This window comes from Homo sapiens, chromosome 1, assembly GCF_000001405.40.
Source record: "Homo sapiens chromosome 1, GRCh38.p14 Primary Assembly".
NCBI lineage: Eukaryota > Metazoa > Chordata > Mammalia > Primates > Hominidae > Homo > Homo sapiens.
Window position 1 is genome coordinate 221,026,724 of NC_000001.11, and position 23,712 is coordinate 221,050,435.

The following is a 23,712-nucleotide window of genomic DNA, read 5'->3' on the forward strand; positions in this document are numbered from 1 at the left end:
TGCAAGTCTCATCTGAGCGTCACGGTTAGTTCCTTCCCTGATTCTCCTATCCTAATGTGAAATAGCCACCCAGTCTCTCACACCTTGTTTAACTTCTCCACGTAGCTGTTATCACCATTCGATATTTCTCTTCTTGATCAAGAAGATCAAGATCTGAAGATTGTTTTCTGCCTCGCCCAACAGAATGTGGAATAGGGCCCCATTTTATCCCGAGCGCCTAATAGTGCCTGGCAAATAGTATGTGCCCCAAAATTATTTTCTGGATGGATGAATGAAAGGTGTAGTGGAACAGTAACGGGTTTGGGTTCATTCATCCATTTATTCACCTAAAAATCCATCCAAGTGTTTGATCCTATCTCAGCTCCAGGTTAGCTTTGATACTTTGGGTAGGTTATCTAGCCAACATAGACCCTGGCTTTCTCCTATGTTAAAGGAGCGTAAGAAGTCCTACTTTGCATAGTTACTAATTGCTATAAGAACAGAATGAGATGGCACATCTAAGTTTTTGATGAGAGAATGGTGCATAGCACTATTGGAGCGTGTGACACAAAATAGATTGTCTTATTACTGTACACCCAACTCCTACTTTTAATAGGTGAATGAACTAATGTTCCTTTTTTAATTTACCTCGACCAATACCAATTAAAATAGAGTAGTTCATTCGCTCTTCCCTGTCTGGTTGCTTTATTGAGTTCAGAGAGAGAACACAAAATTTCCCATGGGAAAAGGGAACATGACAGACAGAAATAGTGATCTAGTGTTGGGGGAAATGAAGGCCTGGGAGTGTGGGGAGATTCTGCATTGTTGCATGTCAGTGAAGAGATGCTAGGGTGTATTAAAGTGTTTTAGAGGAGAGAATTGTTGAAGCCCCAGTTTTGCTTGCTTGGTGATATGGTTTGGATATTTGTTCCTTCCAAACCTCATATTGAAATTTGATCCCCCAATGTTGGGGATGGGACTTTGTGGGAGGTGTTTGGATTGTGGGGGCTGATCTCTCATGAAGGGCTTGGTGTCATTCTTGAGGAAGTGAGTGAGCTCTCACTCTTAGTTCCCGGAAAAACTGGTTGTTGAAAAGAGCCTGGCACCTCCTCCTCTCTATCTCGCCTCCTGCTTCTTACCACATGACGCCTGCTCCCCTTTGCCTTCCACCATGAGTGGAAGCTTCCTGGGGCCCTCACTGTGCTTTTTGTACAGCCTGCAGAACGATGATCCCAAATAAACCTCTATTCTTTATAAATTACTCAGCCTTGGGTATTCGTTTACAGCAACACAAACAGACTGAGACACCTGGGGAATATATCCTTGGCACTTTATGCTGTGGTGGCAGTATTCTGTTGCCAGAAAGCTCCTGGCCTTGTTGCTGGGAGGTGGAGTAGAATGGCTCTACAGAGCGTGGCTCTTGTGCTAGACTGCCTGGTTTTGAACTGGGCTCTGTTATTAATACTTACTAGCTGTGTGACCTTGGACAACATATTTAACATCTTTGTGCCCCATTTTTCTTACCTATAAAATGAAAAAAATAAAAATAGTCTTGACCTTCATAGGGTTATTATGAAGATTGTACATGTGTCAGATGGAAGGGGCTTAGGACAGTGCCCAGGGCACATGAAATGTTATATTAGTTGGAATGTGTACTAGCTATTACACTAGCAGTGTTCTTTTATCCTTGTTTTTTGGTATATAAAATAATGCCAATAATATATGCTGTATAGGATTGTTGTAGAGAGTAGATAACAACTGTAATATTGGTGAAAAAGTGACTGGTCCATAGTAGGCACTATTATGTCCCCATGTGTTAGTATTCATTCTGGTTTTGCTTTCCCTTCTCTCTTCCTGTAATTTTTAGAATTAGTGTAAGATGTGTTAAAAGGTAGTTAGTGCTTAGGGATGGAAACCACAGTCCTGTCTCAGGCTCAAAACTAAATAGGCTGAGCCCTTACTATTTGTAGAGAGAGACTCTTCAAAGAAACACCCATTTGTCTTAGCTCAGTTAAGGAAGTCAATCTCTTCTCTCCACTGTAAGTGGCCCATTAACCTACCTGGAGAGTCAAACAACCTGGACTCCAGTCTGGAGTTTTCCACTGAGATATTCCAACCTCTCCATGTCTCGATATTCTCATCTGCCAAGGAGGGGTGAAAACACAGGTGCTACATACCTCATGAGGTTATCAATAAAGTCAGATATGCCTATCTTGGACTCAGTTAAAGGACTCTAAAATAGGATGGTGATATCAGACTATGCAGTAAGGTGGGACTATATAGCTGATGTCCCAGTAAGAGCAATATGTTCATTGTTTCCCCTCTGCTAGGAATATCATGAATTTTCTCTTAAGACTCCCCCGAACATGTACATGCACACACACTTTCCCAGATTATTGTCATTACCACTAGTCATTGCAAATGGGTGAACAAGTCTATATTTGGTGGAAGAAGACATGTGCTTATTGCAGACTCCCCCTACCTAATTGTGTCCAGTTACTCACCCATCCACTGTGGGTGGAGTAGAGGCAGGGGCCTCCCTTCACATGTGTGGAGTGTAACGCTGTGGTGGAACAAGCCAGGTAGCCATCCACTGTGTATCAGTACTGTTTCATCACCTTGAAATAAAACACTCTTACTTCTGGGATGCATGGAAAAGCTTTACTTTTCCTTATTTTGTTTTGTTGAACTTAGAAGGAAGGAGTGTCTAACAAATTTTGGTCTGCTCTTTATGTTCTCTCTGGAAACTTCAGAAGCAACTGGAATTTTCTCGGCAACTTCACAGGACAAAACTGGTCACCATTTGAATAGTGGATTTCATAATGAACAAGAACTGAAAAGTAATCTTAAGGAGGTTATTTTATTTTTGCTGAAGTTAGTTAGAAGGGAATAAAGATGACAGATTTAAGGAACATGAAAAAAAAGTATTGAGTAAGGGCAACTATTCTGTGCCATAAAGCCAGAAGGAAAAGCATGCTCTTGGCTTAGATGTCCAACATCTATCCTCAATGAAATATGAAACCCTTCAAACCCCTAAACCCAGGAGTGGTCGGTTCTTAAAGGACTGTGACTGGGTGTATGGGTGTAGGCCTTCCTGGACCCTCTCTGCTCTCTCTTCCTTCTACACACTGTTTATGTGTTTGTTGGCCTGAGATCAGTTCTCCCACTTAACCTTTCCTTGCCCCACAGCCATGGTAGTTTTTACATGGGAACACGCACCCTCTGTTTCTCTGCAGAATCTTGTATCCTCTCAGGGAAAGTCGTGTGGTGGGCTAGTGGTGAAGTGAGAGGGAGCTATGTACACACAGGGCCCAGCTGAAAATGACTTTAGCACAGAGTTTACTTAATACATCCTCCAAATTGTATTTTGAAGCCTCTGTTAACAAGAAAGCACTCTCTTTTTGAGCAGCAGGAGTGTTTTATAAATGGAATTTGCAGACCGGCAATGCTCCCATTAATTTTCCCTGTCTACAATTACTATCATTACATTCTTAAAGCACTTTTAAAATAAACTACACCATGATGTAATGTGCACACTGAGCTCCACTGAGCAGGACAACGGGGCAGCAGCATCTGGACTCTGGGCTGCTATCTTCTAGGGAACATCTTGATGGCTATAATTACTGTCATGTTATGGGAACTTAAAAAAAAAAGGCGCCAGAGTTCCAAATAAAACATAAAATGGCTTTGATATAATAAATGTTACTATCATTGTTTAAAAATGTTGTGACCCGTCTGCTACAGTTTCTGAGAAAGATATTTTCCAGCACTCGATATTTTCTCCTCTCTCCCTCTTTCATATTCTATTAATGCAGATAAGGATGAAGAAAATCCTTAGGAGAGACTTGTTTTAAATCAATGTAATACAATGCCAGCATTGTCTCTCTTCAAGTTGAACTTTCAAATTAAATTTGGCATGAGTTTTACCAGAACTCCAAACAGCTTTGCTCCAGAGACACTGTATCTGCCCTATTAGGGAGAATTAATAATTCAAATGTTATGGTTGTGGTTAATTGCACTCATTAGGATAAGACAAGGACTGGAACATTTTTCTGTAGGACATACCCACATCCATTGCACCCCTGGCCAAGGCATTCAGAACAGTTTGGGCATTTTCAAAGGAATCATAATGACACAAAATGCACACATGGTGTAAATGTTGTCATCCTATGGGATCCAGTTTTGGAAGGGCCTGTAATGAATTTGGACCCAGGTATTGGATCAATTTCTGTATAAAGTTATGAAGAATCACTTATATATGGAAAAAGTCATCTGTTGTGGGTACTGACCCTGATTGTATTCACTCAGTTTCCTAAGAACGTTTTATTATATGGAATTCATTCAACCTTGTGAAATCTAAGTTATTGTTTCATAATGGGTAGTGGCAACTTTAAGGAAGACAGCACATCTTATTTAGGCAATTGGTTAGCTTTGACAACAGCGGGTGCATAGACCACAAATGGAGTAAACTGTTCTGTTGATCTTTTTTTCTGCTAGTTTGCTGATAACATATTTCAGTTTGAAATATGATTGGACCTTTTGATGTAAGAGTTGGGACTTAACCAGGGAAAAATTTATATAACCTGATCTGGATTTCATCATATTCAGTGAGTTTGTGAAAGGACATTTTTTTTTTTTACATGTGTCACATCGATTGACTATCTCTCCAAGCTCTCCTGGGTAGTGACTTATTTTTATTTCATTTGGTGTCATGTTTTCCTTTCTCTGTATGTCCTCTCTATGGCTGATGAGCAGTAAGTTAGGCCACGGAGTTTAGGGGAACAATGGTTCAATCTCCAGGTAAGTTTCTTCAGTCTCACTCTATACAGTCAGCACTGGCCAGCTCCCTAGACAAAGTGTATGAGATCATCCCAAGTCAAACCATGGGGGTACTGTGGTTGACCCCGGTAAGCCATCCCACTTCTGCAAAAACCAATCCAAGCAGAGGCTGTACTGATAACAAATATGTTACACCTTCTTTGGGTGTAGACCAGAGTGCATTTTTAATGTCTGTGTTTCTAAGCCTGCTGTCCAGAAGATCTTCTATTCATGACACTTTCCAAGATCTGTTCTTTCTCAGAAACTGGATTTAGTTATTGCACTCTACAATAATGTTAGGCTGGAGAAAAATTGTAGATTTGTTTGCAAGGAATGTGGTGTCAATCGATTGAGGGCAATTTGCATGCAATCCTAAAGTTTAAGTCAGGTTTTAATTTTGATTTGGTGATACATCTTTGAAAATGCTCAATTTTTACTTTGTCTGATAAGTATGCTTCTGTCCTTTGAAAAGTAACTCCATCTTTGTATGAGTCATTCTACCCTTTTATTGTTTTCAGTGTGACTCCTAAGTACTGGACACTCAGTAAGGACTTATTGATGGTTATAATGTTTCATAGAATATTTGCATAAATGATCTTTGTAGAAAACAAATTGAACTTTTCCATTGAAACAATATTATGTCATATTAGCATTAAGAGGCACTTCATAAAAAAATTTTAGTTAACACTAACTGAGCATCCAATCTACTTTCTGTTTGTTGAAGCATTTATGGTTCCTACTCAAGACAAGAAAAATAACAAGGAAAGAAATAACTCTGAATACAGAACATTTTATTACAAAAATAAAAAAATGAGAGCATATCTGTTAGCTCTTGCCAACTTTTGAAGTATGGATTCTATTTGTCTTTATTACAGTGTATTCCCATAGTGACTTTTCCCTATTTATTAATTTTTGAATGTTACTATAAAACAGAGATATGTGCCTACTGGAAATAGTCAAAGCTATTTCAAGAAACTTTACAAATGAGAAAAATATACCAACACATCTTTGAACTATTCTGTCAATAAATTAGGAGCTATGCAATTATTTTATATCTCCTTATAGTTCTTTTTGAAAAAAAGTCATATGCATTATCACAATAAAATGTCCTGTTAAAACTATAATAATTGTGATGACTCATAGATACGTGATTCTTCTTATTAAGAAAAAAAGGACAGGAAATCCAATATAAATGAGCTGTTTTCCTCAGTAGTGTAATAAAACTTGGATACTGGTATATGAATTTTTGATTATATCATCCACTGATAATCTCTGGCTCATTTCCTCCCAGTGAAGAATCAGTCTCCTTCCTCCCTGCACCAGCCCCCTTTGGCCACTAACATTTTAGCAACCCTACTCCCTCAGATGGGGAGGAGGCCTCCCAGTCACAGCCACCACAGTACAATATATTTTAAGGGCTGTAAATTTTCACCGTCAGATTTGAGCCAAGGGTGTTAAGCTCCAGAAGATACACATCTGCTTCCTACTCAGATGGTCTTTGTTGTGCTTCTTGGTAGAGGGAGAGTTGTAATGCCACAAGAATAAATCCCAAATGGGGTGTGTGTTTGCAGGGGGGTGGTAAATTATGGTGTTTTCAAAAGAAGTGCTCATGACTGCAAATATATCTAGCCTCAATTCTGCTCTTAAATTCTCTGTTTCTTTTCAGAGTTACATGATAATATTTTATTGCTCTTTAATGAACAGAGTGAGTCACTATTAAATTTCAAAAGTGAAAAATTATTTTGTAACCTGAGTCACAACCCCTGAATGTATCTCGTTTCTAAGTTTGGATTTCCAAATGTCAGGTTTTTCTAAATAGGATCACATGAATACAGGACCAGAATATAAAAGAAATGTCTAAGCAACTACTTGGGAAGGGTGGCTATAGTCCATGCCAATATATCCAGCTCATGAGTGTTTATTAAACACCCACAAGTTTGATCAAAGAATACTTAGTGTTAGATGTATCTTAATGTTCTCACTACTCTCATACCTTGTTAACCAAGAGGGAAAGATGATAGACCAATTTCAAACCTAGCAGAAATGTGAACAGATAAATATAGTAAATCCTCAATTTACAAATGAGCTTTGTTCCAAATTGTTTGTAACTGGTTCATCTGGAACTGTCCTTGCATTTTCCCATAGAGACAAAATTATAAATGGTAGTTAGGTTTCCTAGCCAGCCCAGAGAATATACTTAAGCCCTATGCAGCTGAACACTAGCATTAGAGAACTTGATCGCCAAGTTTCTGTGGAAATATGCATTTATTTATTTACTCAAATATGACTTGAGTGTTCACCTGATTGGAATACAGAGACACCCTTAGCCTCTGATGATGGGGCATCATGGTCTAATCAGGCAGTGATTGCCCATTCCTTAGTGTCTGGGTGGAAGATAACATAGTGTGTTACTTGGATACATAGGACAGTAAGCTGGAGGTGGAGGGGGTCAGGCAGGACTCTCAGAGGATGCCTGAGATGATTTTGTTTTGCTGGGAGAGAAGGATGGAATCAAGAATGGAAGTTGCTTTGGGTATGGGGAGGGGCAGGAGCATGAAAGCTTAAAATAGCTTAGCCCATTAAGGGCAAGTGGGGAGGTTGATTATCAGATAAGTGAGGGCTAGACTAATATGGATTGCCACATATGGGTTTGTATGTTCCATTTGAAGATGGGATTTCAAGTAGAAGACTGATACGATCATATTTACACTTCAAAACTTCATTTGGTCTCTGTATTAATACTGGATAGAAGAAGCCACCAGCACTGGATAAAAGAAAGCCTCAGAGCCTGCTGGAATTATCTGAGGGAAAATTGATGAGGCACTAGGGCAGGGTAGATGGGGAAGGAGAAGAAGAGATGGTTTACTGGTAGTAGGGTGTTCAATTTGACAGCACCTGAAACAGACTGGATTTTGGTGAAGGAGAACACTGGATGAATAGAAATAGCAATGCTGTACACACATGCACACACGAGGAAATGATGGGAGACAGATTTGGGAGGAGGAGGAGCTCAGTTACAGATGTGTATTTGGGTCATGACTCCACTCAGAGGGTTGGGGATGAGAGCTGGCACTCAGGAGCATCTAGAAAGGAGATCCAGAAGGTGAAAAGAAAGACAATTAGAGTGAATAAGGAGAGTCTAGAGGGGCAGCCAGGGATGCTGGACCATAGCCAGAAGACAGCAGTAGTACCCAGAAGTCAAGATGGTAAGAAATTTCAGAGAAGACAAGAGAGTGGATGGTGCAGAGACCAAGACTGAGAAATTAACATTGGAGTTAGCAGTTGGAAAGACACTGGTGTCCCAGATTCCAGTTTGGTGGAGAGGTGCTGCAGCCCTGAGGGGAGGTGAGCTTGAAGATGGTATATGGTGTGTGTGTGCATGTGTGTGTGTGTGCATGTGTGTGTGTGCGTGTGTGTGTGTGTGCATGTGTGTGAGAGCACTATTCCAGTGGAGGAGAAACCCAGTGGATGTGTCCTTGTGGTGATTAGCTGTGGAAGATGGGCAGGGCTACAGACACAAGTTATCAATAAGCTGCTAAACAACTTATCAGTCATGGTGTTACTATTACCAAAAGGACCACATTTTAACAAATTTTAAATGTGCTTCATCTCTTATCACCTTCCCACCATGTCCCTCCGCATTAGAATGCTGTCTCCACCCTTCAAAAGACCCTCTACCTTGTGCTCTTTCACTCCTCCATGCCCTGCACACGTGGTTTCATCTGTCATGAATGTCCTATGCCTCTATGCCTAGCTAGCTGTCTTTCTAAACCACCCAGCCCAAAGGCTGCCTCCTCAGGAAAGCCTCTGGTAATGCCCATGACAAAGTAGTTTCTCCTGTCTCTACTCCCTCAGTGCTCTGCTCACACTTTTGGTAAATAATAGAATGCAGCTTAAAATTACATCTCTCTCCCTTTCTGGATGGTGAATTTCAAAAACATGTTGATTCAGCTGTTCTGCGTGCCTAGTCCAGTGCTCAGCCCATGATGAGAGCTCAGGGTTTGTTTAGTGACAAGCCTTTGGCAAACTCAAAAGTTAGTTGTAAAAACTATTGGTCAGGAATGATGGACCCAAGCCTAACTGACCTGAAGCTATTGTGAAAATGGTAAAAACCAAATCCTCAGCTTTTTGGGCAGGTATATTAAGGGAGGGTGCCAAAATGCTGTCAAAGCTTTTATGTTAAGAAGTTGCATAGGTTCCTAGAGCTATGTCTTCAGTGACACTGGGCAGCCAGGATGACTCATGACCCTCGATTTAAGCATCTGGAAGAGTCAGTTTTATTTTCGGAGAAACTCTGTGTCACCTTTAGTAAAAAAAGAAAGGTACACGAGGCCTTGGCAAGAAGATCTATTTCATAAATCTGTAAAATAAATGAAGCTCTTTGGGGACATTAACTCTTCTATAACCTCTCTCGATGAGTTTGGAAAGTATTTATTATGAGATGGAGCCAATTTCAAAGTGAAGCTGAGAGAATTTTCTTTCCTGAGCTCCTCCTGGAACAGTTACGTTTAGTGATGCTAATCTATGATGATGACTCAGTGACAGGAAGTGACATTGGTCATGCGTTGGCCCCAAACAGTACTTGAGGGGAGGGAGGAGGCCAGAGGACTAAAATCCTGTGTGGTTTTCCCAGTGTTTTTACCTACATGATTGTCATCTTTCCTTTTGAATCTGTCCAGAAATTGTCAGTGAAATGAAAGATCAGTGTTACATATCATTTGGGTTTTTGGCACCAGGGATGTTTGCTTTATTTTGGGTTATATTAAATACAATTAAAATGCACTAATGGTATTATAAAAGTTTTGATTTTAAACAGTGAACTAGGAAATCATTGCAAAAAAGAGTATTACGCATGACATTAGAATATGGGGCTCCAGTTTCAGATTTTTTACTTATATCTGTATGACTTTCAGTGAGTGCATTTAACTTCTTCAAGTCTTATGACCTTACTAATGAAATATGGTAGTAACACCACATCTCAGCAGCATTCATGGAGTGCTTACTATGTGCTTGGCACTGCTTTACACGGGTTAGTTTTCCTCAATCCCTTTGATGTAGGTGTGATTGTTATCCATTGTACAGATGAGGAAATTTAAGTTTGCGGAGTACGTATACCATACTGGGATTCAAATCCAAGACTTTGTGATTCTATTACCAAGTTCCCAACTGCTCTTTTATTTTTATTTTAAAAAAACTTTTATTTTAGGTTTAGGGGTACATGTGCAGGTTTATTATATAGGTAAACTTGTGTCATGGGGGTTTGATATACAGATTATTTCATCACCCAAGTGCTAAGCCTACTACCCATTAGTTACCTTTTCCTGCTCCTCTCCCTCCCCGTACCCTCCACCCTCTGGTAGGCCTCAGTGTCTGTTGTTCCCTTCTTTGTGTCCATGTGTTCTTATCATTTAGCTCCCACTTATAAGTAAGGATATGTGGTATTTGATTTTCTGTTCCTGCAGTAGTATGACAAGGATAATGGTCTCTAGCTCTATCATTCCTGCAAAGAACATGATCTCCTTTTTTATAACTGCATAGTATTCCATGGTGTATATGTACCACATTTTTTTATCCAGTCTTCCATTGATGGACATTTAGGTTGATTCCACGTCTTTGCTATTGTGATAATGATGCAATGAATATACACATGCATATGTCTTTATGATAGACCAATTTATATCCTTTCGGTAAATACCCAGTAATGGGATATTGGGTTGAACATTATTTCTGTTGTTAGGTCTTTAAGGAATTGCCACACTGTCTTCAGCAATGGCTGAATTAATTTAGACTCCCACCAACAGTGTGTAAGCATTTCTTTTTCTCTACAACATCGCCAGCATCTGTTATTTTTTGACTTCTTAATAATAGCCATTCTGACTGATGTGAGATAGTATCTTATTGTGGTTTTGATTTGCATTTCTCTAATGATCAGTGATGTTGAGCTTTTTTTCATATGTTTGTTGGCTGCATGTAGGTCTTCTTTTGAGAATTATCTGTTCATGTCCTTTGCCCACTTTTAATGCGGTTGTTTTATTTTCTTGTAAATTTGTTTAAGTGCCTTATAGATGCTGGATATTAGACCTTTGTCAGATGCATGGCTTGCCAAACTTTTCTCCCATTCTGTCAGCTGTCAGTTTGCTCTTTTAATGGTTTCTTTTGCTGTGCAGAAGCTCTTTAGTTCAACTAGATTCAATTTTCCAATTTTTGTTTTTGTTGCAATTGCTTTTGTTGTCTTTGTCATGAAATCTTTGCCCTTTCCTATGCCCAGAATTGTGTTGTGTAGGTTGTCTTCGAGAGTTTTTATGGTTTTGGGTTTTACAAGTCTTTAATCCATCTTGAGTTAATTTTTGTATATGGTATAAGGAAAAGGTCCAGTTTCAATCTTCTGCATATGGCTAGCCAGTTATGCCAGCACCATTTATTGAATGAGTCTTTTCCTCATTGCTTGCTTTTGTCAGCTGTGTTGAAGATCAGATGGTTGCAGGTGTTCTCTATTTCTGGGTTCTCTATTTTGTTCCGTTGTTGTATGTGTCTGTTTTTGTACCAGTACCATGCTGCTTTGGTTACTGTAGTCCTGTGGTATATTTTGAAGTTGGGTAGTATGATGCTTCCTGCTTTGTTCTTTTTGCTTAGCACTGCCTTTGCTATTTGGGCTCTTTTTTGGTTCCATATGAATTTTAAAATATAATAGTTTTTTTCTAATTCTGTGAAAAATGTCATTGGTAGTTTGATAGGAATAGCATTGAATCTATAAATCGCTTTGGGCAGTATGGCCATTTAAATGATATTGATTCTTCTTCCCCATGAGTATGGAATGTTTTATCATTTGTTTGTGTCATCTCTAATTTCTTTGAACAGTGTTTTGTAGTTCTCACTGTAGAGATCTTTCACCTTTCTTGTTAGCTGTATTCCTGGATTTTTTTTTTCTTTTTTTGTGGCAATTGTGTGTGGGATTTTGTTCCTGATTTGGCTCTTGGCTTGGCTGTTAGTGGTGTACAGAATTGCTAGTAATTTTTGTACATTGATTTTGTATCCTGAAACTTTGCTGAAGTTACAGTTTGAGGAGCTTTTGGGCTGATACTTTTGGGTTTTCTAGATATAGAATCATGTCAGCTGCAAACAGGGATAGTTTGATTTCCTCTCTTCCGATTTGGATGGGCTTTATTTCTTTCTCTTTCTTGATTGGCCTGGCCAGGACTTCCAATACTACTTTGAATATCAGGAGTGGTGAGAGAGGGCATCCTTGTCTTGTGCCAATTTTCAAGGGAAATGCTCCCCACTATCGCCCATTCAGTATGATGTTGGCTGTGGGTTTGTCATAGACGGCTCTCTTTATTTTGAGGTATGCTCCATCAATATCTAGTTTCTAACTACTGTTTTTAATTTTGCACATAATAAACTAAAAATCTTGATGTAAACACGAAGTATTATCAAGCACTAAGTTGTTTTTGATTGAAAGTCATTCTTGAATGTCACTTATCTCAGCCTCCTCCCTTCTTCCACTAAGTCTGGGACATTTCTCCCACACAAATTGGGTAGAAATTGCATGGGCTGCTGCTTCTCCCTCTGCTTTTCCAAATACCAAAGGGCTGCTGAGACTGACCAGTATATGAAACATGACATCCCCAGGTGGACCTAGAGGAAGGAGACCCAAGGAGAGGGTCTTCTTTATATATACATAAATGAAACAATAACATGTCAACGTAGAAATGGAAAATTTAGAAAACGGAACAAGCAAAAAATCAAAATCATTTATATTACCACAACTTAAAAGAATCCAGTTAACGTTTTGCTAAATATCAATATTTCTTAAACAAAATGGGATCATGCATATAGGTTGGCTGGCATAATTATTCACATTTGAGGCAGGCATGGTGTGTCATGAAAGAACAGAGGAGGGGAGGGACAACACAATAGGCATGGTTAAACACATTTTATTTTATACTAAATTTCAACTTTTTCATTTTTTTCTCCTCTACATATCATCTTTCCCACTTATCCATTTTTCTCCTTCCATCAATCCATGATTTCTTTAATTTTCTTTTTTAAATAAAAGGAACATAGTCTATTAATAGACAACAACCAAACAACAAGATCCACTAGCCAAAAGAAAGTAGACATTAGCTAATTAGTCAATTCATGTGGCCTAAGTGGCAGCCAGTTAACTCCAATGGTTAAATCTCAGAAGCCGACCTTTCTCATGAATATTTGTAACATTCACACAAAGACAATTGCTTTAGCTCCAGCTTGCAGTCCCACAGTTGTGTGTTGTTGGTCACAGGGAGACCTAGCAAGAGAATGGGGATGACTCATTGTAATGCACCAACACTCTCAGCAGATGCTCTCCAAAATGAGCTGGGAGCATGATCATACCATGAAAGATAATGAAGCACATTTCAGTTGAATTCTGGCCAGTGCAGGTCTTACACATCTCTTTGATAACTGAATGATCTAATTAAACTCTTTATAGACATTAAATAAACCCAATAATTGCCAATTACCTCTTCCTAGCAATGTTCCCTAGAACTAGAGTTTTATTTTTTGATATAATACCATATCTAAATAAATGCTTGCCAATGTTTTGATAAGAAATGATGTATAAATTAGCTGGCTTTCTTGTCATCATGTAATATAAGCAAGGCAAACTTCTTGTTTCCTTGATGGAACATTGCTCAGGATGGAAACTGTTATCATTGTCAGATGCAGTGTCAGTAGCAATTGGTGAATTTAGACTGCGTTTCCCTATCACTATCTCAGTGAAATAAGACATGTTTCTGAGAGATAAGGGATAATGGAGCTGTTGCTAATGCTTGAGTGGACCTAAGGCATTTGTGAATGAATAATTTTAATATGGAGAATAAAGGTATCCTGAGAATAGGAAAAAGAGGATAATCAGTTCCCTTCTGGATCAGATTGCCAGATTTAGCAAACAAAAATACAGAACTCCTGCAATATTTGAGACATGTTTATACTAAAATAATCACTTACCATTTATCTGAAATATAAATTTAACTGGGTGTCCTATATTGTATCTGATAACTTTACTTCTAGGGGATTAATTGGATCAGCACACTGGTAGGGACATGAAATAATTTGCAATTCTCTGGGGCCTTCCAGTTCAAGTAAGCAAAACTGTTTCCCAGCTTCCTCAGCTGTTCTTTATAAATCAGCATTTTTTTCCCTCAAGTGTGTACTTCATCTTTCTTTCTGGATTTTTCTGACTTCAGGGCAGAAGGGATGTTGGGGAGCTACATGCTGGAGAAAGTTTTTTCTGAGGAAAAATGAAATCACCACCTAAATCCCCTGAGTGGAGTGATTCTGGAAAGAGGGAGTGAAAGGAATGAGGTGGAGGTTGAGACAGTTCAGGGATGGCCAGAGGCAGTTTTGGATGGGAATTCTGGCGCAACTCACATCTTCTGGACTTGAAAGGTCATATCCGGAAGTCACAGTGCTCCTAGGAGAGGTTTTTCAACAAGGTTGGAGTACACTGGAGGCTACACACACAATCTGAGCCAAGAAACAAAGTTCACCCAAGAATGCCAGTGGTGATGTTTCCTCTACACTCTTGGCTAGGTGTGGACCTTGCTCAAATTCCAGGGGAGTGTTGGGTGAATGTGATCATCAGGATGTGGACTCTCATGCTGTGACAGCTAGAGTCTTGTGCCTCTTATTTGTCAGGGTGAATGGGACTGGTTAAATCTTAGCCAATGGGAATTTTTCTTCCTGACAAACAGGTCCATAATAGGGCTGACTTTTCCCAATAGAGGGAAACTACAGCATGGAACTAGGTTAAAAGATTTTGCTGTGAATGAGAAAACCTATTTGTTTTCTTTGCAACTAATTTTGCTATCTTTCCCTATACTAATTTTTAAAATTAATAAATGTTTTTTACTTATTTAATGGGTTAAATAACTCAAAGAGGTAAAAAGTTTTAATATTTTCCTCAGCTACTTCCTACTTAGAACCTGTTTTTCTAAAGTCCTAATATTACCAGCTTCTTTTTTTTTTTTTTTTTTTTTTTTTTTTGTGAGACGGAGTCTTGCTCTGTGGCCCAGGCTGGAGTGCAGTGGCTCAATCTCAGCTCACTGCAAGCTCGGCCTCCCGGGTTCACGCCATTCTCCTGCCTCAGCCTCCCAAGTAGCTGGGACTATAGGTGCCCGCCACCATGCCCAGCTAATTTTTTGTATTTTTAGTAGAGACGGGGTTTCACTGTGTTAGCCAAGATGGTCTCGATCTCTTGACCTCGTGATCTGCCCGCCTCAGCCTCCCAAAGTGCTGGGATTATAGGCATGAGCCACAGCACCTGGCCTTTACCAGCTTCTTAAACAGATGTTTGTTGACTTACAACACGGCTACCTCTTGATAAACTCACTGTAAACTCAAAATACCCAAAGTCAAAAATGTGCTTAATACTCCTAACCTATTGAACATCATGGTTAGCCTAGCCTACCTTAAATGTGCTCAGAACACCTGTACTAGCCTCTAGTTGGGCAAAATCATTTAGTACAAAGACTATAATAAAGCATCAAATATCTCATGTAATTTATCAAATACTGCACAGAAAGTGAAAAACAGAAAGATTTTGCACCACCATAAAGTAAAAAAATTATTGTGGAACCACTGTAAGTTTGAAACTGTCTATATATCCTTTTCCAGTTTTCTCCACATTCATGCAAACATAAAAACATGTATGCACGTGTATAGATGTAAATGTGTGTGTATGTTTATATAAGTGTGTGCATATATTAATATATACACATGTACATACACATACACATATATAATAGGTATATGTAAGGTTTTTGGAGAAAATAGTGTACGTTTTACAAAAACTGAAATTATTAATTACATATTACCCTATAACGTCCTTTCTCACATAGTATCATAGACAGTCCTCTAGTCACTACAGACTGAACTCACAGTTTTTAATATATTTAAAATGTTTCATTATGTGGATATATATATTCAAATGATTATTAATGGGACTTTGGGTTTTTCCCACTTTTCTGCTGTTAAAAACTGGGTTGTATTAACATTTTTAAAAATTCTATGCATATGTTCTTTTTATTTCTATAGGAAGGAGTTCAAACAATATTGCTGGGTCAAAGGACGTGTGCATTTTAATGTTTTTTTTTTTTTTGTTTTTTTGTTTTTTTTTTTAAGTAGAGACAGGGTCTCACCATTTTGCCCAGGCTGGTCTTAAACTCCTGGCCTCAAATGATCCTCTCACCTTGGCCTTTCAAAGTGCTGGGATTACAGGCATGAGCCACCATGCCCAGCCTTAAATTTTAATAGGAATCACACAATTGCTTTTCAAAAAGTTTGTAGCAATTCACACTTCTCTTCTCCATTCCCACCCTTAGCAATACATGGGGAAGTCATTTCCTTGCATCCTTATCAGTATTGTTTATTTTATTTATTTATTTTGAGGCGGAGTCTCACTCTTGTCCCCCAGGCTGGAGTGCAATGGCGCGATCTCGGCTCACTGCAACCTCTGCCTCCCGGGTTCAAGCGATTCTCTGCCTCAGCCTCCTGAGTTGCTGGGATTACAGGCACCTACTACCACGCCCAGCTAATTTTTGTATTTTTAGTAGAGACGGGGTTTCACCATGTTGGCCAGGGTGGTGTCAAACTCCTGACCTCGTGATCCACCCACCTCGGCCTCCCAAAGTGCTGGGATTACAGGCATGAACCACCGCACCCCGCCAGTAGTATTGTTTATTTTTAACTTTGTCAATCTGATGGATAAAAAAATGGTATTTTATCTTAATTTGCATTTCTTGAATCATCCTTGAAATCAGTATGTTTTTGCTGATTTATTGGCCTTCTTAAAATTTATCTTTCTGAATTGCCTGTTCATATTCTTTACCTATTTTTCTGTTGACTCATCTGTTCTCAATCAATTTTTAGGTGCCCCTTGTGGTTGCTGTGTTGAAATTATTCTTTCTTCTAATCTATTGTCTTTTGACTTTATTATATTTTTTGCCATGTGAAATTTTAAATTTTTATATAGTCAAACATTTATTTCTATTTTTAATGTCTTTCTTATAAAATAAATACATCTCCATGGTAAAAAGTCATGTAATTCACAAAGGTATAGAATTAAAAATAAAAGCTCTCCTTCCAGTTTTTGGACTTCTTAGGTCAATACCCCAGAAGTAACCACTGGCAATAGTTTCTTGCTTACTAGTTTAGAATTTTCTATATGTATGTAAACATTCCCCATGCCCCCTCCCAATTTGCTAATATTTACTGAGCATCTACTCTATGCTAAGAACTGTTTTGGGCCCTAGAAAGTCATAAACTCAACGAAGTTTCTACTTTTAAAGTTCATACCCCAATAGTGGAAAAAAGTAATAAATTAGCCAATGGACAAACAAAATAATTTTAGACAATGTTAAGTTCTGTAAAGAAAATAAAGTAGTGTTAGAGTACAGAAAGTGACAGAGAGAGAAAGTAACAGTAATGAACCTAAAGTAACATTATTTTAGGTAGAGTGGTTTGGGAAGGAGTCTCTAAGGAGATAGCATTTATTGGGTTTGGGCCATAATCTTGAAAGACACAATTCTGAAGGCCATAATCTCAAATATTGAAGCCCTGATCATCAAAATCCTGAAAATATAATACTGAACAAAACTTAAAAATTCTTTAAAAGACGTTTATTTACACTTTAGAAGAAAATTTATTTGGGAAACATGACAGAACACTTTATAGGCCACTTTACACAATAAAATAGGCATATAAATAATAGCATACATATTTGTGCAAGCATCAGCACTCAGGTATACTAATTGACATTTATAAGCAGATAAACTGTATTCATAAATAAATAGTTTATATAACAGTGGTCATCTGAAATGTTGTGATAGACAATTAGATCTTTTGACAAGATCAACCAAAAATTGCTATGGGTCACCTCCATATATACAGTCACCCAAAGGACTAAAATCTTGAGAAATTTTATCTTTCACAAATGCAGATGTGCAAAAAGGACATCTTTTCATTTATTGGGGAAGTTTCAACATTTTTATATACACTCACAATGCTTATACACAAAGTCAATGTGGTGATAGTGCACTTCCATGGAGTCAAATTTGCAAGAAATGTATAAAATGAATTAGAACTCTGTGAAGGTCTTTACACAATTTATCCCTTCAGTATTGGAAAGGATGTGAAGATGAAATGCATAGTATAGTGAATTTTAAAAAATAATGCTGACAACTTAAAATAGTGGGAAAAACCTATACAAACAAAACAAAAAAATCCATACCCACTTCCCCCACACCCCCAAAAAAATCCAAAAAAAAAATCCTGATATATGAAAAAGTGTATTACAGGAATAGATGATAGACAATTGCATGGAGGTAGTCCCTAAGAGCTGGGCAACTTTCATGATCATTAACTGTATTTTGAAGTCTTGCATCATGATGGATAGCTGCTTTTCTCGGTTTCTTTTAGGGCATGGCTCTCCTCAAGAATACGTTCACATTCATCTTCTATGTGGCACTGCTCTTTTTGAAATTCTCCTATGATTTTATAGATGCTAACATGAGCATTCCCTATTAAATGTTCCCATCTTCTGTGTCAGGCTTCTAGATTGTTTTAGATACAAAATGATATGGAAATGCATTCTGCATTCACTCATTTACAGACCACATATTTGGTGAAAACGATACTGCTGATTGAACAGAAACACTAATATGTCTTCTTATCCTACTGTACGTATAATTATTTTCAAACCAGTCAGTAACTTTGCTGGCTTCTTCAGGCAAATGAAGCCTTAATTTATGAAAAACACCTGGAATAATTACATCAGCTGCGAGGAATGCCAATACAGACAAATAACATATTTTTAGACTAAAGCTGTTGTCATCAACATATTGCATGGCCAATTCACTCATCTGAATTTTCCAACAAATGCATTGGGCTGAATGGAAAAAACAAACTTTATTGATAACACCTTGAAATTCACTTTTAGAAGCCTTGATTGCACCTAATTCCAAATCTGTTGTTAAGCTTTGGGTATTCAGTTAGACATTAGGGATTTTAAACTTTAGAAATTTAAACTTTAGGAATTTTGATCTTTCAGAATTTCAACATTCAGTTATGGCATTCAGGATTGTGTCTTTGAGGATTACGGTCAGCACCACAATTATTAGAGATCTGATATATGTGAATACTGCACAATGCTTTTTAAAAAATTGCTGTTTATCATTTTCACTTAATAATAAAATAGAATGTGTTTACTGATCAGTGCATGTACATTCACTTGTATGAAAAACTTTTGCTTTGCTAACATAAAATGATTAACCCCAATTTCGTGTAGACAGACAATGTGAATGCATGTCTATCTTCCTGTCTGTCTCTTGAAATCACAAACATATAAAGTCCATTCACTTGATCAATCAGAGGGGGGTAATACACATTATCTATTCTCTTCATTGACCAAATAGGAAGTGGTGAGGTTGTCTGGATAAGGGGCCTTACCAAGGAAGGACGGAAGTGGATCTCCTGTAAGTCACGTTAGTCATGGGGGCACATGTTGAAGGTACTGGCTAATGTGCGGTTGGGGCTGCTATGGTGATTCTTCCAGATTATTTCTAGCTCTTATAAACATGTGGATCTAACAGGTAATATATTCAGGCTGAAAACAAGCAGTCTAAAATGTCCTCTTTTCCCTCAGGTGTGGTATAGTATAGCTATTTTGAAAATATCATTTTGAAAATACAGAAACTCCTGTGGTGATAAAGGGGGTCAGTTTGCTAAAGGGGCATCTCTTTGTTGTGGCTTAAGAGATCTGAGCCTAGTTTCTGGGAAACTGGGCAATGTGGAAGTGAAAGAGATTCTGTGCCCAACATGCTTAGCCACTGCTGAGCTGTCAAACATAAACAAAGCACATTGCCTATTTAAAAGAGAAAGGAGAAGTCTGAGACAGAAGTCAGTTGGGCAGTTATCTGTGGATTCCTGTTGTTGCTTCTCTCCTCATCCACGCTTTAGTGGGTTGTTGAGAGCTAGTTTGCTGGCACAAACAAACAAACAAAAACAAATGATTTATGGAAACTACTGAGTCATGCCTTGTCCCATAGCTGCCTTTCTCCTGCTCTGGGAAGGCTCAGTTACACAGCAAATTTCTGAAGGGAGAAGTAGCCATGCTGTGGAATGTGTTATTATAAGAAAACTTTGCTGCTGCTCTGGTGAACCCAGTGATGCTTGAGTAGCCAAGGTTCTCATGTACTTTCTTACTTACTGTACTGAGGTAAGCAAAGTGACAGATCGTTTAGGGCTCTTGGAGAAATGCTTTGCAAACCTACAAAATGACTTTTTGTTTTATTTCATTTTGTTTTTTGAGACAGAGTCTTGCTCTGTTGCCCAGGCTGGAGTGCAGTGGTATGGTCTTGGCTCACTGCAGCCTCTGCCTCCCAGGTTCAAGTGATTCTCCTGCCTCAGCCCCCAGCTAGTTGGGATTACAGGCACATGCCACCACACCTGACTAATTTTTGTATTTTTAGTAAAGACGGGGTTTCACCATGTTGGTCAGGCTGGTCTCAAACTCATGATCTCAGTTGATCCGCCCACCTCGGCCTCCCACATTCAGACTGTACAAAATCCTGAGGTGAATGGCAAGATGGCTGAATAAGAACAGCTCCAGTCTGCAGCTCCCAGTGAGATCAATGCAGAAGGTGAGTGATTTCTGCATTTCCAACTGAGGTACCCAGCTCATCTCACTGGGACTGGTTAGACAGTGGGTGTAGCCCATGGAGGGTGAACAGAAGTAGGGTGGGGTGTCACCTCACCTAGGAAGCACAAGGGATTGGGAAACTCCCTCCCCTAGCCATGGGAGGCCATGAGGGACTGTGCCATGAGGTACTGTGCATTCCGGCCCAGATACTATGCTTTTCCCATGGTCTTCATGACCCACAGACCAGGAGATTCTCTTGGGTGCCTACAGCACCAGGGCCCTGGGTTTCAAGCACAAAAACTGGGCGGCTGTTTGGGCAGACACTGAGGTAGCTGCAGGAGTTTTTTTTCATGCCCTACTGGTGCCTGGAACGCCAGCAAGACAGAACCATTCACTCCCCTGAAAAGGGGGCTGAAGCCAGGGAGCCAAGTGGACTTGCTCAGCAGATCCCACCCCCATGGAGCCCAACAGGCTAAGATCCACTGGCTTGAAATTCTTGCTGCCAGCACAGCAGTCTGAAGTCGACCTGGGATGCTCGAGCCTGGTGGGGAGCGGGGTGTCTGCCATTACTGCAGCTTGAGTAGGCAGTTTTCCCCTCACAGTGTAAACAAAACTGTCAGGAAGTTTGAACTGGGTGGAGCCCACTTCAGCTCAGCAAAGCTGCTGTAGCCAGACTGCCTCTCTAGATTCCTCCTCTCTGGGCAGGGCATCTCTGAAAGAAAGGCAGCAGCCCCATTCAGGTGCTTATAGATAAAACTCCCATCTCCCTGGGACAGAGCATGTCGGAGAAGGGGTGGCTGTGGGCACAGCTTCAGCAGACTTAAACATTCCTGCTGGCTGGCTCTGAAGAGAGCAGCCGATCTCCCAGCACAGCGCTCGAGCTCTGCTAAGGGACAGACTGCCTCCTCAAGTAGGTCCCTGCACCCCATGCCTCCTGACTGGGAGACACCTCCCAGCAGGATCGACAGACACCTCATACAGGAGAGCTCCAGCTGGAATCTAGCGAGTGCCCCTCTGGGACGAAGCTTCCAGAGGAAGGAACGGGCAGCAATCTTTGCTGTTCTACAGCCTCTGCTGCTGATACACATGCAAACAGGGTCTGGAGTGGACCTCCAGCAAACTCCAGCAGGCTTGCAGCAGAGGGGTCTGACTTTAGAAGGAAAACTAACAAACAGAAAGGAAGAGCATCAACATCAACAAAAAGGATGTCCACTCAAAAACCCCATCTGAAGGTCACCAATATCAAAGACCAAAGGTAGATAAATCCACGAAGATGAGGAAAAGCCAGTGCAAAAAGGCTGAAAATTCCAAACACCAGAATGCCTCTTTTCCTCTAAAGGATCACAACTCCTCACCAGCAAGGGAACAAAACTGGACAGAGAATGAGTTTGATGAATCAACAGAAGTAGGCTTTGGAAGGTGGGTAATAACAAACACCTTCGAGCTAAAGGAGCGTGTTCTAACCCAAGACAAGGAAGCTAAGAACCTTGAAAAAAGGTTAGAGGAATTGCTAACTAGAGTAACCAATTTAGAGAAAAACATAATGACCTAATGGAGCTGAAAAACACAGCATGAGAACTTCATGAAGCATACACAAGTATCAATAGCTGAGTTGATCAAGCAGAAGAAAGGATATCAGAGAATGAAGATCAACTTAATGAAATAAAGTGTGAAGACAAGATTAGGGAAAAAAAATGAAAAAAGCCTCCAAGAAATATGGAACTATGTGAAAAGACCAAAACTACGTTTGATTGGTGTACCTGAAAGTGATGTGGAGAATGGAACCAAGTTAGAAAACACTCTTCAGGATATTATCCAGGAGAACTTCCCCAATCTAGCAAGACAGGCTAACATTCAAATTCAGGAAATACAGAGAACACCGCAAAGATACTCCCTGAGAAGAGCAACTCCATGACACATAATAGTCAGGTTCACCAATTTTGAAATGAAGGAAAAAATGTTAAGGGCAGCCAGAGAGAAAAGTCGGGTTACCCACAAAGGGAAGCCCATCAGACTGACAGCAGATCTCTCTGCAGAAACCCTACAAGCCAGAAGAGAGTAGGGGCCAATATTCAACATTCTTAAAGAAAGAATTTTCAACCCAGAATTTCATATCCAGTCAGACTAAGCTTCATAAGGAAAAGAGAATTAAAATCTTTTACAGAAAAGCAAATGCTGAGGGATTTTGTCAGCACCAGGCCTGCCTTACAAGAGCTCCTGAAGGAAGCACTAAATATGGAAAGGAAAAACCAGTAACAGCCACTGCAAAAATATACCAAATTGTAAAGACCATCAACACTATGAAGAAACTACATCAACTAACGGGCAAAATAACCAGCTAACATCATAATGACAGGATGAAATTCACACATAACAATATTAACCTTAAATGTAAATGGGCTTAATGCCCCAGTTATAAGACACAGACTGGCAAATTGGATAAAGAGTCAAGACCCATCAGTGTGCTGTATTCAGGAGACCCATCTCATATTCAAAGACACACATAGGCTCAAAATAAAGGAATGGAGGGATAAGTACCAAGCAAATAGAGAGAAAAAAAGGCAGAGTTTGCAATCCTAGTCTCTGATAAAACAAACTTTAAACCAACAAAGATCAAAAAATACAAAGAAGGGCATTACATAATGGTAAAGGGATCAATGCAACAAGAAGAGCTAACCATCGAGATAGATATCCACCCAATACAGGAGCACCCTGATCCATGAAGCAAGTTCTTAGAGACCTACAAAGAGACTTAGATTCCCACACAATAATAGTGGGAGATTTTAACACCCCACTGTCAATATTAGACAAATCAATGAGACAGAATACTAACAAGGATATTCAGGACTTGAACTCAGCTCTGGACCAAGTGGACCTAATAGACATCTACAGGACTCTTCACCCCAAACAGACTATACATTCTTCTCAGCACCACATCACGCTTATTCTAAAATTGACCACATAATTGGAAGTAAAACACTCCTCAGCAAATGCAAAAGAACGGAAATCATAACAAATAGTCCCTCAGACCACAACACAATCAAATTAGAACTCAAGATTAAGAAACTCACCCAAAACCACACAACTACATGGAAACTGAGCAACCTGCTCCTGAATGACTTCTGGGTAAATACCGAAATTAAAGCACAAATAAATAAGTTATTTGAAACCAATAAGACCAAAGATACCATGTACCAGAATTTCTAGGACACAGCTAAGGCAGTGTTTAGAGGAAA

At 39.4% G+C, this 23,712-nt stretch overlaps 1 long non-coding RNA gene across 3 annotated transcripts in view, besides 1 other annotated feature; it reads left to right on the plus strand.

The window, feature by feature from the left end:
- The first annotated feature begins 20,390 nt into the window (after positions 1–20,390).
- LOC101929750 (uncharacterized) overlaps positions 20,391–23,712 on the plus strand; it is a 60,750-nt gene continuing 57,428 nt past the window's right edge. For all 3 annotated transcript variants that reach the window (XR_001738477.2, XR_001738478.2, XR_001738479.2), the window contains exon 1: positions 20,391–20,477. This is a non-coding gene — a long non-coding RNA (uncharacterized LOC101929750). The remainder of the gene's footprint in view (positions 20,478–23,712) is intronic.
- Positions 20,674–20,743: an enhancer, noted in NCBI's record as "active region_2558". NCBI's record gives its function as "activates an Ori minimal core promoter by ATAC-STARR-seq in GM12878 lymphoblastoid cells {active_cell/tissue: GM12878}" and the evidence as "EXISTENCE:reporter gene assay evidence [ECO:0000049][PMID:35858748]".